At 43.7% G+C, this 18,302-nt stretch overlaps 1 protein-coding gene across 4 annotated transcripts in view, besides 1 other annotated feature; it reads left to right on the top strand.

Moving 5' to 3' along the window:
* Positions 6,717 to 6,956: an enhancer, noted in NCBI's record as "active region_8111". NCBI's record gives its function as "activates an Ori minimal core promoter by ATAC-STARR-seq in GM12878 lymphoblastoid cells {active_cell/tissue: GM12878}" and the evidence as "EXISTENCE:reporter gene assay evidence [ECO:0000049][PMID:35858748]".
* METTL3 (methyltransferase 3, N6-adenosine-methyltransferase complex catalytic subunit) overlaps positions 6,999 to 18,302 on the top strand; it is a 13,203-nt gene continuing 1,899 nt past the window's right edge. For 2 of the 4 annotated variants that reach the window (XM_011536968.3, NM_019852.5), the window contains exons 1-6: positions 6,999 to 7,215; positions 14,458 to 14,675; positions 14,762 to 15,166; positions 16,436 to 16,611; positions 17,210 to 17,426; positions 17,657 to 17,844. In XM_011536968.3, coding sequence (XP_011535270.1) covers positions 7,116 to 7,215; positions 14,458 to 14,675; positions 14,762 to 15,166; positions 16,436 to 16,611; positions 17,210 to 17,426; positions 17,657 to 17,844 — 1,304 coding nt within the window. In that variant the 5' untranslated portion in view covers positions 6,999 to 7,115. Of the gene's footprint in view, positions 7,216 to 14,457; positions 14,676 to 14,761; positions 15,167 to 16,435; positions 16,632 to 17,209; positions 17,427 to 17,656; positions 17,845 to 18,302 lie in introns of those variants that run through there. The other 2 variants (XM_047431594.1, XM_006720206.5) reach the window with 2 other exon arrangements.

The raw sequence follows: 18,302 nt of genomic DNA, 5'->3' as shown, positions 1-18,302 counted from the left end.
GCTCACACCTATAATCCTAGCACTTTGGGAGGCCGAGGCGGGCGGATCACCTGAGGTCAGGAGTTCGAGACCAGCCTGGCCAACATGGTGAAACCCCATCTCTACGAAAAATACAAAAATCAGCCAGGTGGTAGTGGCCTGTAATCCCAGCTACTCGGGAGGCTGAGGTAGGAGAATTGCCTGAATCACTTGAATTGCTTGAACCTGGGAGGCAAAGGTTGCAATGAACCAAGATCGTGCCACTGCACTCCAGCCTGGGTGACAGAGGGAGACTCTGTCTCAAAAAAAAAAAAAATTAAAAAAGAGACCAAGTGTTGGTTAGATGCAAAGGTAAATACTGTTATGCCTCGCTTAATGACCAGGACACATTCCAAGAAATGTATCATTAGGCAATTTTGTTGTTGTGCAAACCTCATAGAATGTATTTACACAAACCAAGATGGTATAGCCTACTACAAACCTAGATTATATGTTATAGCCTATTGTTCCTAGGCAACAAACCTGTACAGCATATTACTGTACAAAATACTGTAGGCTATTGTAGCACAATGGTATTTGTGTATCTAGACATACAAAAGGTACAGTAAAAATACAATAATACAAATAATACAAAACACAATAAAAAAAGATACACCTATATAGGGCACTTTCCATGAATGGAGTTTGCAGGACTGGAAGTTGCTGTGGGTGGGTTAGTGAGTGCATGGTAAGTGAATGTGAAGGTCTGGGACATTACTGTAAACTACTGTAAACTTTATAAACACTGTATGCTTAGACTACACTAAATTTATTTAAAATGAAGTAACTGTGCTACAACATTATGGCAACTACAACGTCACTAGATGATAGGAATTTTTCAGCTCCATTATGATCTTATGGAACCATTGTTGTGCACATGGTCCATAGTTGACCAAATCATCATTATGTGATGTTTGACTGTAAGAGAAACTTCTGCCCTTAGGGGAGCTCAGTCTCAGTGGGAAAATGTAAACAGATACTTTTTTTTTTTTTTTTTTAAGAGACAGGGTCTCAGTATTGTACATGCTGGACTCCAACTCCTTGGCTTAACTGATCTTCCCATCTCAGCCTCCTGGGACTACAGGCACATACCATATTGCCTAGCTTTAAACAAATACTTTTATTTGGGGGTAACAGGAACTATGACAGATAATGGACAATGTCCTGTGGAATCAGAGAGGGAATTCAAACTTGTAATTCAAAAATGGAGAAGGGAAAGGGAGCATCCAATTCTCTTGAATTCAGCTTTCACAATAACCACTCTCAAGTATATTAACTCAACCTATACAACTTAGGAACCAATGCAGTTGCCATTTAAGAACCTATATAAGGCCGGGTGCCGTGGCTCACACCTGTAATCCCAGCACTTTGGGAGGCCGAGGCAGGTGGATCACCTGAGGTCAGGAGTTCGAGACCAGCTTGGGCAACGTGGTGAAACCCCATCTCTACTAAAAATACAAAATTAGCTGGGCGTGGTGGCAGTGGCCTGTAATCCCAGCTACTTGGGGGGCTGAGGCAGGAGAATCACTTGAACCCAGGAGGAGAAGGTTGCGGTGAGCTGAGATCATGCCATTGCACTACAGCCTGGGCAACAAGAGCAAAACTTCGTCTCAAAAATAAATAAATATTAGCCAAGTGTGGTGGCAGGCACCTGTAATCCAGCTACTCAGAAGGCTGAGGCAAGAGAATGACCTGAACACGGGAGGTGGAGGTTGCAGTGAGCCGAGATCGCGCCACTGCACTCCAGCCTGGGAGACAGAGCAAGACTCCATCTCAAAAAAAAAAAAAAAACAAAAACCTGTATAAGATCCATCACACTCTGTTTGGCAGACACAGAGATGGGCTGCTTTTGAGATGTTCCTTCAAGAAAGAACTGGCTACCAAGTGCAAGGAGCCTGGTTAGCTGACAACCTCCAGCTGTACTGCTCTTCTCCAATCCTTGGCCCAAAACTGAGCAAGGTACAAGGGCTTAGCCATTGGAACATAGGACTCTAATGAACAATATTTGCTCTGGAACTTCCCACTGGACTGGCAGAGACTTTATCAGGTCTGCATTGTGGTCTGACAGCTCTCCCTAATCAATTCCACTCCCCATTTCCTCCACTGTCTTTCCTTATACCAGTTCTGTCCCAGCATCTGCTTCTCAGGGAATTCAACCTGTGTCACCCCTGAATAAGGCGCAGAATTTATTGGCACATTCTCATCTCTCAGAAACTCCTGCACCTGTAACTTTGGTTATCATCCCTGGAACTTCTTAGTCAATCAACAAACACTTGTCTTCTGATCCTTAAAACAGATTTCACTAGTCTTATTCTCAATTAGACCCAACTTTGACTTCCCTTTATATTTCCTTTTCTAACATTTAATAACAGTAGGTTGACTAACCCTAGTGGGCATTCTGTTTTTAGTCAGATATGAACAAGACTTGAGGGAAAAAACATTCAGCCAAAGAATCAAGTAAAAAGCGAAGGGTTGGGCACGATGGCTCACGCCTGTAATCCCAGCACTTTGGGAGGCCAAGGCGGGTGGATCACGAGGTCAGGAGTTTGAGACCAGCCTGGCCAACACAGTGAAATCCTGTCTCTACTAAAAATACAATTAGCCGGACATGGTGGTACATGCCTGTAGTCCCAGCTTCTCGGGAGGCTGAGGCAGGAGAATTGCTTGTACCCGGGAGGGGGAGTTGTGGTGAGCTGAGATCGTGCCACTGTACTCCAGCCTGGGTAACAGAGCAAGGCTCCATCTCAAAAAAAAAAAAAAAAAAAAAAAAAAGTGAAGTATACAGTTAGTGCTATGTTTGAGATGGGGTCTCGGTATGTTGCCTAGGATGGTCTTGAACTCCTGAGTTCAAGGGATCCTCCCACCTCAGCCTCCAAAGCAGCTGGGATTACAGGCACATACCACAGCACACAGCCAATTAATGTCTTCTTTTTTTTTTTTTGAGACAGAGTCTTGCTCTGTCACCCGGGCTGGAGTGCAATGGCACTGTCTCAGCTCACCACAACCTCTGCCTCCTGGGTTCAAGCGATTCTCCTGCCTCAACCTCTCAAGTAGCTGAAACTACAGGCACATGCCACCGCACCTGGCTAATTTTTGTATTTTTAGTACAGATGGGGTTTCACTATGTTGGCCAGGCTGGCCTCGAACTCCTGACTTCATGATCCGCCCACCTTGGCCTCCCAAAGTGCTGGGATTACATGTGTGAGCCACCGCACCCAGCCTAGTGTCTTAATACTTACGTATTTGCTTATGATTCCATGGAGTGCCTGGTAGGATGGCTTGTCTATGTTCCATGTGGTGAGGACTGGGCTCACTCATGCAGCTTTCATCTGGACTGGAGAAGCCAAGATGGCCTCAACTTCTGGCTACTCAGATGGCTGGCTGGAATGCTGAACCCTCTCTCCTTACCATCCTTCATCCCCCAGGGTCTCTCTTTTTAAGTGGTCTATCAGGGTGACTGGACTTCCATGAAGGCCCAGGGTTCCAAGAGGGCAGAAACAGAAGCCGCGGCAGCACATCTGGAGGTCCCTCAGATCTGTCTCTTGCTTCAACAGTGTTTAGATGGAACAGACCCAGGGACTCTCTCTCAAAAATTAGAAACAAAACAAAACCAAATCCCGAAAGCTGTAATTCCTTTTAAGGTCTAGACCTCTTAAGGTCTAGAACTCAGGGAATATCTCTTCTGCCACATTCTTTTGGTGAAAGCTAGTCAGAAGCCTAGCTCAGATTCAAGAGGAGGGGGAATAAGCTTTACTTATTGATTGAAAGGGGGCAAAGTCACACTGCCTAAGGGCATGTAGGTGAGAGGCATTGTTGTGGCCAACACTGGAAGCAATCTACCATAGCAGATATGAGGAAAAGTTGAGAAGTGTAATGCATGCAGCACCCATCTGCTCAAAATTAGGCTTACACTCCATTTTGACTAGAAGAATTCTGCATTTTTCCCTCCTCCTCCTCCTCCTTCTCCTCTGTGTACTGCTGAGGGCTACGCGCGGACAAGAAAGCAATGTCTTTCTTTTGAGCAGCAAACTGGTCAAGAGGAGTCTAAAAAGAATCTCTCTACAAGAAGATCATGCTAAGAGGCCTTCCTGTACTTCTAAAATTTGCCCAATATGCCACTGTAATAATTTACCCAGAGTTAATGTGAAAGCAAAAACTTCTGGGAGCTGCCCTTGATTTGATTGACTTTCAGGAGTACTTGTGCTACTTCTTTGCACCACTGCCCTCCAGCAGTGAGAGTGAGGCTTGTCTCAATAAAACAAAAACAAAAAAACAAAGTTACACATCCCAATAGATAGTGTAAATTCCCTAAAAGTAAATTAAGTTCAGAAAATGAGATGGAAATGAGTATTTTCATCACTACTAAATCTCCATAGTATCTAACACATAGTAAACACTCAATACTTACTGAATGGATAAAAGTCATATTACAATACACATACATCTTTCAATAGCTCCCTTCATATTCACCCCTTCCTTTTCATTACTGTTCATAACCAGCTTTTAGTTACAGTTCTTCTCATCAGACACTTAGTTACAATGGACTAATAACCATCTTTGTCCTCTCCAAAATCTCCTTCCTCCTCACCTCAATTTATCTAGAACAGCAAATCAATTTTGAAACATTCCTATTTACAAACCCTAAGTGTTTCCTATTGTATTCTGAATAAATTGCCAAGTCTTTACTCAGGTACCATGTACCTTCTACAATCTGGCCTCAAATTTGGAAACCTAAAATTTCTCCCAATATTCCCAAATATAAATCTTTATGTTCTGGCGAACTAATCCAGATTGGCATAACACACATCACGCTTTCCTACCTCTAGTCTAGACCTTTGCCTTTATCATATTCCAGACCTGGATTTCCCTCCTATACCTTCACCTACTGAAACCTTAGTGGTCATTTTAAGCCTGAACCTTGATTCCAGCTTCTTTCCAATGCCTTCCTGGGTCATTAAACTTGGAGTCCTCCTCTTCTTTGAAATCACGTTTTTTTTTTTCCTGTTTTTTTGTTTTGTTTTGTTTTTGTTTTTTAAAAAGTCTATGCCCATGCTACCTCATGCTGTGAAGATGGTTCAGTATTAATAAACTGGCTCACAGCTCCTTGACCAGATTATAAACTCTTTGAAAACAGGAGCCATGCCAGTCAAACTATTTTTTGTATTTTTTGGACAACAGCGTATGGCATCATGTAGACATTGGATAAGTCAGTGATTCCCGAAATGTTTCCATTCAGGGAGCTCCATTAAAAAAACAAAACAAACAAACAAACAAAAGGCCAAGCCGGTGGCTCATGCCTGTAACCCCAGCACGTTGGAAAGCCAAGGCAGGCTGATGAGCTAAGGTCAGGAGTTCAAGACCAGCCTGGCCAACATGGTGAAACCCCATCTCTATTAAAAATACAAAATTAACTGGGCATGGTGGCAGGTCCCTGTAATACCTGCTACTAGGTAGGCTGAGGCAGCTAGAATCCAGGAGGTGGAGGTTGCAGTGAGCTGAGATCACACCACTGCACACCAGCCTGGGCAGTAAGAATGAAACTCTGTGTCAGGCCAGGCTCGGTGGCTCACGCCTGTAATCCCAGCACTTTGGGAGGCTGAGGCAGGGGGGCAGATCGTAGGGGCAGATCACGAGGTCAGGAGTTCGAGACCAGCCTGGCCAACATAGTGAAACCCTGTCTCTACTAAAAATAAAAAAAATTAGCCAGGTGTGGTGGCACGCGCCTGTAATCCCAGCTATTCGGGAGGCTGAGGCAGGAGAATCGCTTGAACCCAGGAGGCGGAGGTTGCAGTGAGCTGAGACCACGCCATTGCACTCCAGCCTGGGTGACAGAGTGAGTGAGACTCCATCTCAAAAAAAAAAAAAAAAGAAAATGTGTCAAAAAAAGAAAGAAAGAAAGGATTGTAGGAAAAACCACCACCACCAACCTTGTATTTAAGTTTACTACACATACAGAAAAGTGCACACCAAAATGTTCAGCTCAATTACATTTCACAAACTGAACACACTCATGCAGGTAGCTCTCATAACAAAAAACACAACGCAACCAGGACCTCAAAGCCCTCTTAGTGTCGGAACCCGATTTTAATAGATTACACGTACTTTGTAAATTTAGCCTAAGAGAGAGATCACGTATTTGAAGACCTCTCGGATTTTTCCTTCATCAGCCCTCCCCACTTCCCCACGCCTCGTCAACACAAAGAAGCATGCCCGCACCCACCACCGCCCCCTCCTCACCTCAGATTGGGGACCACCGTTGTGTTTTTTATTTTTTTGTAAATGAACGCATGGAAACAAACCAACACCACCTTCAGTGGAAAAGGTATGTTAGTACCAAACTGTCAAAAGGAACTAGTGATCCTTCATCTTAAAAATCTGTACTATGGCCGGGTGTGGTGGCTCACGCCTGTAATCCTAGCACTTTGGGAGGCCAAGGAGGGCGGATCACGAGGTGAGGAGTTCGAGACTGGCCTGGCCAACACAGTGAAACCCCGTCTCTACTAAAAATACAAAAAATCTGCCGGGCGTGGTGGCGGGCGCCTGTAATACCAGCTACTCGGGAGGCTGCGGCAGGATAATCACTTGAACCCGGGAGGTGGAGGTTGCTGTGAGCCGAGATCGCGCCATTGCACTCCAGCCAGGGCGACAGAGTGAAACTCCGTCTCAAAAAAAAAAAAAAGAAAAAAACCCCCAAAACTGTACTATATGGTGTTGCTCTCTACGAGTGCTACTTTAACACAAGTCAACTCTCAGGACTCCTCTCCGAATATTCAACATGGCCGCATGCGCGTCTATAAGCAACATGGCCGCTCTGCCAGTCACCAACATGGCAACCACAGCCTCACTGTGTCCGGAAGCATGAGAGAGCGGGTATGAGGACTATACCGGCCGCTCTGCCAACACCTAACGTGGCTCTTTATAGCTTCCAAGAAAGCGCGACACCGGAAATGACTTTTCTGTCTTGCTCAGCTCCAGGGGTCATTTTCCGGTTAGCCTTCGGGGTGTCCGCGTGAGAATTGGCTATATCCTGGAGCGAGTGCTGGGAGGTGCTAGTCCGCCGCGCCTTATTCGAGAGGTGTCAGGGCTGGGAGACTAGGATGTCGGACACGTGGAGCTCTATCCAGGCCCACAAGAAGCAGCTGGACTCTCTGCGGGAGAGGCTGCAGCGGAGGCGGAAGCAGGACTCGGGGCACTTGGGTGAGGCACTGGGCTGTTGGGGCCGAGGCTCAACCGGGGAGGACGGGCGGGATCCCTAGAGAAAAAGCTCCAGAGTCACTGCCCTTTACCAAACGGCCATTTCTATAAAGCCTCGTACATTGGTACTCCCTCTCCACCTTCAGCAGCAGACGTTCGCCCTTCTGCAAGTAGTTCGCGGTTCCTCCTCACGCTGGGCCTCGGTTCTTCCAGCTCACTTTTACCGGACGGACGCTTGAGCCCCACCCTCGTCCGCCTTGCCCACTCCTCTTCAGACTGCGAGGACGTCGCCTTTGTGAGGCTGCTCAGCCCCCTATCCCGCGAAGCAGCAAGAACCCCTTTTTGTTGCTGCTTTGGCGCTTTGTTCCCTCAGTTATAACGACTGTTTTGTAGTGGTCATTTCTTGGCAGCTGTGGGTACAGTAAGCGAGGAATGAACCTTTATATCCGCAGTGCCCAATTTAGTGGCCCGTACAGAGTGGCACTGGGTGTTTCTGAATGAGTACCCCTACCGGCATTGACTTAGCCATTTACATACCTAGCAGGAATCTGAAAACATTTGTGTTTGGTTTCCAAACTTTTTCTCTTCTCCTGTTGCCCCCGTGTCACGATCATAAAACTTGAAGGAAATTTAAAAGATTAAATTCACTGTTATCCACTCCCTACCCTCAGGACAAACTCTGAATTATTTAAGGCAAACTAGTAACAAAGCTCTGCAAAAATAGTGACTCAGTATCACCTTTGTGGTAGATTGTTCCAATATTTGTCAGTATCTTCAACTGCATCTCTAAATCTTGTCTAGATCATGTTAGGTTCATGTGCTCGTATTCTGGCCCCTAGAAATAGAAGATGCACTGGCAGGATCCTCCCACCTAATTAATTACCTTTCTTGAGTATCTACAGTGTTCATGGGTCTAATTAGACAAAAATAAGGAAGAAATTGCCCCTGTCCTCAAGAAGTTTAAAAAGCATAGGATTCAAGGGGAGACGCTTACAAAAAGTGAGGAATATGATAAGATATATGTACGAAACCAAATGAATGAATCTACAGTCTGTACAATGAAGAGAAGTAACAAGAGCTGGTGTAGGTAGTGAAGCCATCAAAACCATCATAGTGGAATTGGCACTTGAATTTGGCCTTTATGGCTATATAGGACCTAGATAATTAAAGAGGTAAGAGGGGAGGATAGTGGAGTAAGAAGTGCAAGTCATATGGTCAGGCAATAATTAGTAGTCAAGTCTCAGAGTAGTTCCTGAATTACCTAAGAGGGAGAATTTTTTTTCCCTTGCTCTAGAAACTTCATTGATTTATTTATAGATACAATTTTTTGTTTTGTTATGTTTTTTCCCCTATTCTTTGGTTTCCTGTTTTGAAACTTTTTAAAAATGTGCATAAATGATGCCAACGACTTTTTTTGCTTTTGTTTTTGAGATAGCGTCTCTCACCGTTGCCCAGGCTGGAGTGTAGCAGTCCTCCCGGCTCATCCTCCTGAGTAGCTAGGACTACAGGTGCATGCCACCATGCCTGGCTAATTTTTAACTTTTTAATAGAGATATGGTCTCATTATGTTGCCCAAATTTGTCTTGAACACCTGGCATCAAGCTGTCCTCTTGCCTAAGCCTCCCAAAGTGTTTGAATTACAGGTGAGAGCCACCATATCCAGCCTATTTAATTTTCCTGTGGAGTCTTTTCCCATTCAGCAATGGCAGTTGCAAAAGGGGACCTGAGGATCAGGTAGTTGTTTGTTTCAACAAAGTGATCTGCAAAATTATTTAGTTAGTTAGTTAGAGACAGGGTCTCCCTCTGTCACCCAGGCTGGAGTGCTGTGGCATGATCATGGCTCACTGCTGCCTTGACTTCCCGGGCTCCAGCGATCCTCCCACTTCAGCCTCTCAAGTAGCTGGGGCCACAGGCGTGTGCTACCATGCCCAGCTATTTTTTGTATTTTTGGTGGAGAAGGGGTTTCACCATGTTGCCCAGGCTGATCTCTAACTCCTGAGCTCAAGCAATCCACTCACGTTGGCCTCCCAAAGTGCTGGGATTACAGGCGTGAGCCACCATGCCTGGCCTACAAAATTAACTTTTAAAAAGCCGCTATATTGGTGTACTACATCATTGACTACTTTGTGTTCACCTTTCTGTCGTTTTTGTGACAGGCCATCCTCTATCTGTGGTGTTGTTTGTTGTTTCTTGGTTTTAATTGTTCCTCATCATACTTATTTATTTATTTTTGAGATGGAGTTTCGCTCTTGTTGCCCAGGCCAGAGTGCAATGGCGCGATCTTGGCTCACCGCAACCTCCGCCTCCCAGGTTCAAGTGATTCTCCTGCCTCAGCTTCCTGAGTAGCTGGGATTACAGGCATGTGCCACCACTCCTGGCTAATTTTGTATTTTTAGTAGAGACGGGGTTTCTCCATGTTGGTCAGGCTGGTCTCAAACTCCCAACCTCTGCTGATCTGCCCGCCTCAGTTTCCCAAAGTGCTGGGATTACAGGTGTGAGCCACTGTGCCCGGCATCATACTTCTTTATACTTTTCCATTTCTAAATTCATACTCTTTCAATGAATGATTCTAATTGCTCTTGGTCATTTTAAGTTTCATTTCATTTTTCTATGACATTAACTACATTTTGGTATTAACCAAACTTTCTGCTGTATGCAGACCTAACTACTAGAGCCTTGATACTTTGATCCAGGTCCTTGCTAAACATGTTTAATATTTTTGACAATAAGACTGTATTCTCCCTGCATGTACATATCCTTTTTTATTTTTATTTATTTTTTCTTTTTTAGATGTGAATATCTCTTGATTTGTATATTTAGCTAGTAATATAGCTAAGACCCTTTTCTGTGTGTGTGTGTGTGTAAGATAAGAATCTCGTTCTGTTACCCAGGCTGGAATTCAGTGGCGTGAACACAGCTTACTGCAGTCTCGACCTCAGGGCTCAAGTGATCCTCCTGCCTCAGCCTCCTCCTGAGTGGCTAGCACCACAGGTGTACCCTACCATGCCTGCCTACTTTTTAATTTTTATTTCTTTGTAGAAACAGGGCCTTGCCATGTTGCCCAGGCTGGTCTTGGACTCTTGGGCTCAAGCTATCCTCCCACCCTGGCCTCCCAAAGTGCTGGGATTACAGATGTAATCCCAGTCTAGTTAAGACTCTTATAAAAGTATTTTTGGGGTTGTAATTAAATGTATCTTGTCTTCTGACCGAGAGCTTGATCTGACCCATCATTTGGTACTGTGGTAATAGGTAAAGATGAAACATACAAATTAAACCAGAATGTCACTGTTCTTTCTGTGTTATTTTGATTATTTCAAAGAATGTATTTTGTTGAGCTTTAGGATTCTTAGGAAACCCTTGTGAAACACTGTATTGTAAGTTTATGAATCATGTTGTCATGTAAGATATAACTCAAGACTTGATAAAAGTTCAGATTATTCCATTCGTTTCTCACCGGAAATAAAAATTTGCCTACCACATCTGTTGCCCAGGCTGGAATGCAGTGGCGCGATCTCGGCTCACTGCAAGCTCCGACTGCCAGGTTCACGCCATTCTCCTGCCTCAGCCTCCCAAGTAGCTGGGACTAAAGGTGCCCACCACCATGCCTGGCTGATTTTTTTGTATCGTTTTTAGTAGAGACGGGGTTTCACAGTGTTAGCCAGGATGGTCTCGATCTCCTGACCTCGTGATCCGCCCATCTCGGCCTCTCAAATTGCTGGGATTACAGGTGTGAGCCACCGCGCCCGGCCACACCTTGTTTTTTACAGCATTACTGAAATCTGATAATTACCGACTACTGAACTGAGTGTCAAAAGACAAGGATATAAAATGAACTAAAATGTACCCACCACATCGTTAATAGTGGAAAATAATATGGGCAAAATATTGGGAGACCTTTGTTAGATTGGCATTTTTATTATTTATTTATTTATTTATTTATTTTTTGAGACAGAGTTTCGCTCTTGTTGCCCAGGCTGGAGTGCAGTGGTGCCATCTCACCTCACTGCAACCTCTGCCTCCTGGGTTCAAGCAATTCTCCTGCCTCAGCCTCCCGAGTAGTTGTGACTACAGGTGTCCACAGCCTTTGGAAGGCTAAGGCGGGTGGATCACCTGAGGTCAGGAGTTCAAGACCAGCCTGGCCAACATGGTGAAACTCTGTCTCTACTAAAAATATAAAAATTAGCCAGGTGTGGTGGCAGGTGCTTGTTGTATGTACTACAGGCACATACAACCTTGCCTGGCTAATTTTTAGTATTTTTTGGGCAAAACGCCCAACAGGGTTTTGCCATGTTGCTTAGGTTGGTCTTGGACTCCTGAGCTCAAGTGATCCTCCATCCTCAGCCTCCCAAAGTGCTGGGATTACAGGCATAAGCCTCCATGCCTGGCCTCCTTCCTTTTGAAGGATAAATAATATTCCACTGTATGTATATAACACATTTTGTTCATTCATCCATGGGTGGGCGTTTGGGTTACTTCTACCTTTTGGCTATTGTAAATAATGCTGCTATGAACCTGGGTGTATGAATATCTCTTTGAGACCCTGCTTTAATTCTTTTTTGTTTTGTTTTTTCTTGAGACGGAGTCTCGCTCTGTCACCCAGGCTGGAGTGCAGTAGCGCGATCTCGGCTCACTGCAAGCTCCACCTCCTGGGTTCACCCCATTCTCCTGCCTTAGCCTCCTGAGTAGCTGGGACTACAGGTGCCTGCCACCACGTCCGGCTAATTTTTTTGTATTTTTAGTAGAGACGGGGTTTCACCGTGTTAGCCAGGATGGTCTCGATCTCCTGACCTCGTGATCTGCCCGCCTCTGCCTCCCAAAGTGCTAGGATTACAGGTGTGAGCCAACCACGCCCGGCCGAGACCCCGCTTTAATGCTTTTGGGCATATACCCAAAAGTGGAATTGCTAGATCATATGGTAATTCTATTTTTGATTTTTGAGGAAGCGCCATCCTAATGGGTGTTATATATCTCATGTTGGTAAAGTATATTTTTTTAAAAAGAAAAATATTACTTAAAAAAATCTTTATTTTGGCCTTGGCAACAGAGCAAGACTCCGTCTCAAAAAAAAAAACTTTATTTTAATGGAAACAAACTATATTTGGCCAGGTTTAGCACATAGTAAATATGTGAAGTGCTCCAGTATATTTCTTGAGATTGAAGATGTGCATATAGATGTTGACACGTTTAAGGATTCAGCAAATTTGTAATCAGACCATATTAATTTCAGTGGTTCTCTTAATTAAAGGGTGAATCAAGTGTTATGTATTATTTTGCTAAACCGAACACATTATTTTCGTTAGATTAGAAGCAGAATGTCAGTGTAGTTGCAGCAGAGCGGAGGCATTGAGTAAATGTGTTGAATAAATAAATGAATAAATACCTTATGAAGGATTTGGAACCCAGGGATTCTTATCATTTTCTGGACAGTAACCGGTTTTAGGGATGATAAAACTTTTCCCCAAATGTCTGTATACATACAAAACTTTGCACGTGAAAAGTTTAGGGAATTTCACCTGAATAACAATTGTATTAACCAGCAGTTAAGTTTTATCCACCACATTAAACATAAGCTCCCTCCTCCTGATAACCTTAAAAAAGGTATTTTCAGCTCTAATATTCTGAATGTAATGTTGGGGAAAAAAAACCTCCCAGGAGGTGTTATTAATACAAGGATTCATAACCAGAATTACATCACCAGATATTGGAATGAGCAGTATTAAATCAGTCAGATTACCAATGAGAAAAGTCAATACCAACTTGTAAGGACTGAAATATTTATGTTAACATGGTTCTTTTTATAGATTTCTCACTTAAAAATTTTCTCACTCACTTAATTACTCAAAGAACATCTTCAGTTACTAACTGGAGAAACTGAAAATGAAAGAAGAAATGGGTGAGAGTGGAATCCTCCCACCTCAGCCTCCCCAGCAGCTGGGACTACAGGCACAGGCCACCTTGTGTGGCTAATTTTTAAAAAAATTTTCTTTAGAGACACTGGGTTTCACCATGTTCCCCTGGCTGGTCTGGAACTCCTGGGCTCAAGTGATCCTCCCACCTTGGCCTCTCACAGTGCTGGGATTACAGAGATAAGGCACCACACCAAGCCCTGAGTCAGATTTTAATAAATTCAGTTTCCATTAGAGTGGAAAATTTTCAAATTAATGAATTATTTATTTATATATTTTTTGAGACAGAGTCTTGCTCTGTCGCCCAGTCTGGAGTGCAGTGGCATGATGTTGGCTCACTGCAGCCTCTGCCTCGTGGGTTCAAGCAATTCTCCTCCTTCAGCCTCCCCAGTAGCTGGGATTATAACCTTGCATCACCACCCCCAGCTAAATTTTTTTTTTTTTTGTATTTTAGTAGAGATGGGGTTTCACCATGTTGGCCAGGCTGGTCTCGAACTCCTCACCTCAAGTGATCCACCCACCTTGGCCTCCCAGAGTGCTGGGATTACAGGCGTGAGCCCCAGTGCCTTACCAGAATGGAAATATTTAAGTAAACAAAATATTTCTAAATGTAAACTAATGGCCTACTTATTTAGCAATTTCAGTTCAGTTCTTAGGAGTTTAATATTTCATCTATATTTTAATTAACCACAGATATTAGGCTTTCTCAAAGATAACATTTTGTCCTAATTTTAGTTTCTCAAATCGTTATTAAGGTTATGATGGCAACCCAGCTTGTGAAGTAATAGATGATAATAATATAGTCAGGAAATATCATTTGGTAACCAAGGCTTCAGCAAAGTATTAAGATTTTTGTGTTTGTGAGTGTTATAGGTAACACTGTTGGCCCCCAACATTGTCATTTTGTACACTTTGTTGATCAGTGGCCTGAATTCATTAAAATTCACACTACATGCCTCAAAAAGAATATTGGATCCCAGCCTAGGTTGTTGAGTATATTCCTGTCCTTTATTAAAATGTAGGTTGATAGAAAGGTGGTAGGGATATTTAAATCTATCATGCTAATTTACTTTCTTTGTATCACAGCAAGGATAGGGAATTAGGAAAAGATTACTCACTCAATAGAGAAAAGGTAGATAGAAAATCCAGTATTATCTTGACAAAGCAGTGAATGTTTTAGTATGATTGAGGATAGGTAATCTAGTGCTAAAGTTGGTCACAGAATTTCCTGCACAAAATGAAAGATCTGTGTATGGGAATGCTAGAGAATTTGACTTCTCAGAAATATATAGACCAACAGTGGTTGCCTTTTTTCATTTTCACTTCTCTTCATTCTTAGATCTACGGAATCCAGAGGCAGCATTGTCTCCAACCTTCCGTAGTGACAGCCCAGTGCCTACTGCACCCACCTCTGGTGGCCCTAAGCCCAGCACAGCTTCAGCAGTTCCTGAATTAGCTACAGATCCTGAGTTAGAGAAGAAGTTGCTACACCACCTCTCTGATCTGGCCTTAACATTGCCCACTGATGCTGTGTCCATCTGTCTTGCCATCTCCACGGTAATGACCTGACAGAGTTAGGATTTACCACTTATTTTCAGTTCACGGTCAGTGTCTTATTGCCCATACCTCCCCTCGTTCTCTAGCCAGATGCTCCTGCCACTCAAGATGGGGTAGAAAGCCTCCTGCAGAAGTTTGCAGCTCAGGAGTTGATTGAGGTAAAGCGAGGTCTCCTACAAGATGATGCACATCCTACTCTTGTAACCTATGCTGACCATTCCAAGCTCTCTGCCATGATGGGTGCTGTGGCAGAAAAGAAGGGCCCTGGGGAGGTAGCAGGGACTGTCACAGGGCAGAAGCGGCGTGCAGAACAGGACTCGACTACAGTAGCTGCCTTTGCCAGTTCGTTAGTCTCTGGTCTGAACTCTTCAGCATCGGAACCAGCAAAGGAGCCAGCCAAGAAATCAAGGAAACATGCTGCCTCAGATGTTGATCTGGAGATAGAGAGCCTTCTGAACCAACAGTCCACTAAGGAACAACAGAGCAAGAAGGTAGGGGTCATGTGAAAATACTCTCACAATATGCTCTTAATTATAGCTTTGTTTGACAGGGATTTACCCCTAGGGCAAGGAACTGTTTACAGCAGTGGTTCTCAACTGGGGATGATTCCCTACTGCCCAACTCCCAGGGGATCTGGTAATGTCCGGAGACATTTTTATTGTCACACATGGGGGAGTGCTATTGGCATCTAGTGGGGGTAGAGGCCAGGGATGTTGTCAAACATCCTACAGTGCATAGTGGGACAAACCCCCACAACAAACAGTTGTCTGTCCCAAAGTGTCAACAATGCCAATGTCGACAAATTCTTATTTAGATAATCTGTCACTGAATCTGAAAGAATTGGATCAAGAGAAGAGGAATCCAAATATATAGAAATATAGGGAGATGAATGGAGAGGAATACTAGACCAATTATGGAAATTGACTAAATAATGTGAATTGGTTCTGAGTATAAGCATTGGCCTGACATGAGTTCTTATCTGTTTGGTACTTCTAGTGCGTGAGTTTGAACAAGTTAATTAACTTCTCTTGAGCCTTAGTCTTCTCATCTGTAACATGAAGATAATACCAGCGTATCCTGCCTTATAGAATTGAATAGACTCTGAGCTAAAAAGTAAAGTGTTTAGCACTATACTTTTTAGTTCAGCACCCAGTAAATATGTTTTTTGTAGAAGGAATGCCTTCCTGGGGAGGGGATGTTAACATAATGCTTAGCGGTAGGAACCAGGCCTCTTCCATTTTAATTTCATCCCAAATGCATATTTGTGAGGAAGGACTGAACCCCTAACAAATCTCTTATCTGAAGGCTCCAATTTTCCAATATTAAGTTAGCTAATTTAGGTCTAGGCACAATGGCTCATTCCTGTAATCTCAACACTTTGGGAGGCCAAGGCGCGAGGATCACCTGAGGCGAGGAGTTCAAGACCGGCCTGGGCAACATAGACCCTATCCCTATAGAAAGTAAAGTAATTAAAACATTAGCTGGCATGGTGTCACGCACCTATATTCCCAGCTACAATTGAAGGCTGAGCTGGGAGGATCACTTGAGCCTGGGAGTTCAGTGGGAGAAACAGTGAGTTATGATTACACAACTACACTCTGGCCTGGGTGACAGCAAGATCCCATCTCTTAAAAAAAAAAAAAAAAAAAAAGTTGATTTATCTCTTAGAAGACATTAATGTCAAAAAGAATTTGCGGAGTTGGTCTAAGAGCCAATTTGATCTATAAGACATTTTAAGTCCAAGGCTACTTCTGTCACAGGTCAGTCAGGAGATCCTAGAGCTATTAAATACTACAACAGCCAAGGAACAATCCATTGTTGAAAAATTTCGCTCTCGAGGTCGGGCCCAAGTGCAAGAATTCTGTGACTATGGAACCAAGGAGGAGTGCATGAAAGCCAGTGATGCTGATCGACCCTGTCGCAAGCTGCACTTCAGGTCTCTTGGAAGGGAATGAGGTGGGATGGGTTTGTCAGAAGCAGCCATTCCTTTTCAGCATATTCCTTCCAGTCATTGGGGTTCTGTCTGTAATCTTATTTAGTTTATGGTTTGTGTAAGTCCTCCAGACCCTGAAGGTGTACTTTCAGAAGTGCATTGTGTGGGAAGAATACAGGCTGTACTCCCAAATAACTGAGATTTTTTTTTTAAAAGCTCCCTCCCTCTTAGAATAGCAAAGTATGTCTGTCTCTGAGCCACAGTGAAAGTTAAAGTACTCTGAAAGGAGGATAATCTTAGGAGAAAAGGAACCTAAACTCTTAGGTCAGTGTTTTATTCTGTTCTACCCAAGTCTCCTGCACTGCTTGCCTTCCAGTGGTAAAACAGGAAACCAAGTCTTTACTCAGAGAGGAATTACAATTGTTCTGTAGTATGAATTATGGATTTCCATGCTACCTGCCTCCCTTAAAACTCTTGAAGGAAGCTCTAATGATAGAATTAGGGGAGGGTAATAAAATAGACATTTTGAAATCATTTGGAATTTGAACTGTTGGATCTACATCTGGAGCACCATCTTGATTCTCCCTTTTTATTTTCCCAGACGAATTATCAATAAACACACTGATGAGTCTTTAGGTGACTGCTCTTTCCTTAATACATGTTTCCACATGGATACCTGCAAGTATGTTCACTATGAAATTGATGCTTGCATGGATTCTGAGGCCCCTGGCAGCAAAGACCACACGCCAAGCCAGGAGCTTGCTCTTACACAGAGTGTCGGAGGTGATTCCAGTGCAGACCGACTCTTCCCACCTCAGGTACCTGTCTGCTCAGAAAACTCGTCTCAACTTACGGACTTATGTTTGATAGGGCAGCCATACACGTTAAGAAAGCAGAGCATAATTCAGCAATCTTGTCTTGCTTATTGGGAATGGAGGGGGATAGATAAGCTTTTAAGGGAATAGGAAAAATCAAATGGAAAAGAGGGACTCGGGCCATGAATCTCAGAGTTAAAGTAGGGAAGATGACCAAATACCACTTTATGCAGTGGATCTGTTGTGATATCCGCTACCTGGACGTCAGTATCTTGGGCAAGTTTGCAGTTGTGATGGCTGACCCACCCTGGGATATTCACATGGAACTGCCCTATGGGACCCTGACAGATGATGAGATGCGCAGGCTCAACATACCCGTACTACAGGATGATGGCTTTCTCTTCCTCTGGGTCACAGGCAGGTAATGCAATTCAGTTACGTAGGTATGGACAGATACAGTACAAGAGTGAATACTGAATGGGAGATAAAATCCTGGGTTTTCCTAGCCCCACTATTAAATGTATGACTGATTTAGTCTTTTTTTCTTTTTTTTTGAGAGAGTCTCACTGTGTTGCTTAGGCTGGAGTGCAGTAGTGTGATCTCAGCTCACTGCAACCTCCACCTCCCAGGTTCAAGCAATTCTCCTGCCTCAGCCTCCTGAGTAGCTGGGATTACAGGCACGTGCCACCAGCCCAGCTAATTTTTTCTTTTTGTATTTTTAGTAGAGACTGGATTTCACCATGTTAGCCAGGATGGTCTCTATCTCCTGACCTTGTGATCCACTCACCTCGAGCTCCTAAAGTGCTGGGATTACAGGCGTGAGCTACCATGCCCAGCCAGTCTTTTTTTCTACTGAGTCCTAATGCCTGTTTACAATGC

Source organism: Homo sapiens, chromosome 14 (assembly GCF_000001405.40).
Source record: "Homo sapiens chromosome 14, GRCh38.p14 Primary Assembly".
Lineage (NCBI taxonomy): Eukaryota > Metazoa > Chordata > Mammalia > Primates > Hominidae > Homo > Homo sapiens.
This window is presented reverse-complemented; position numbering and strand designations above follow the sequence as displayed.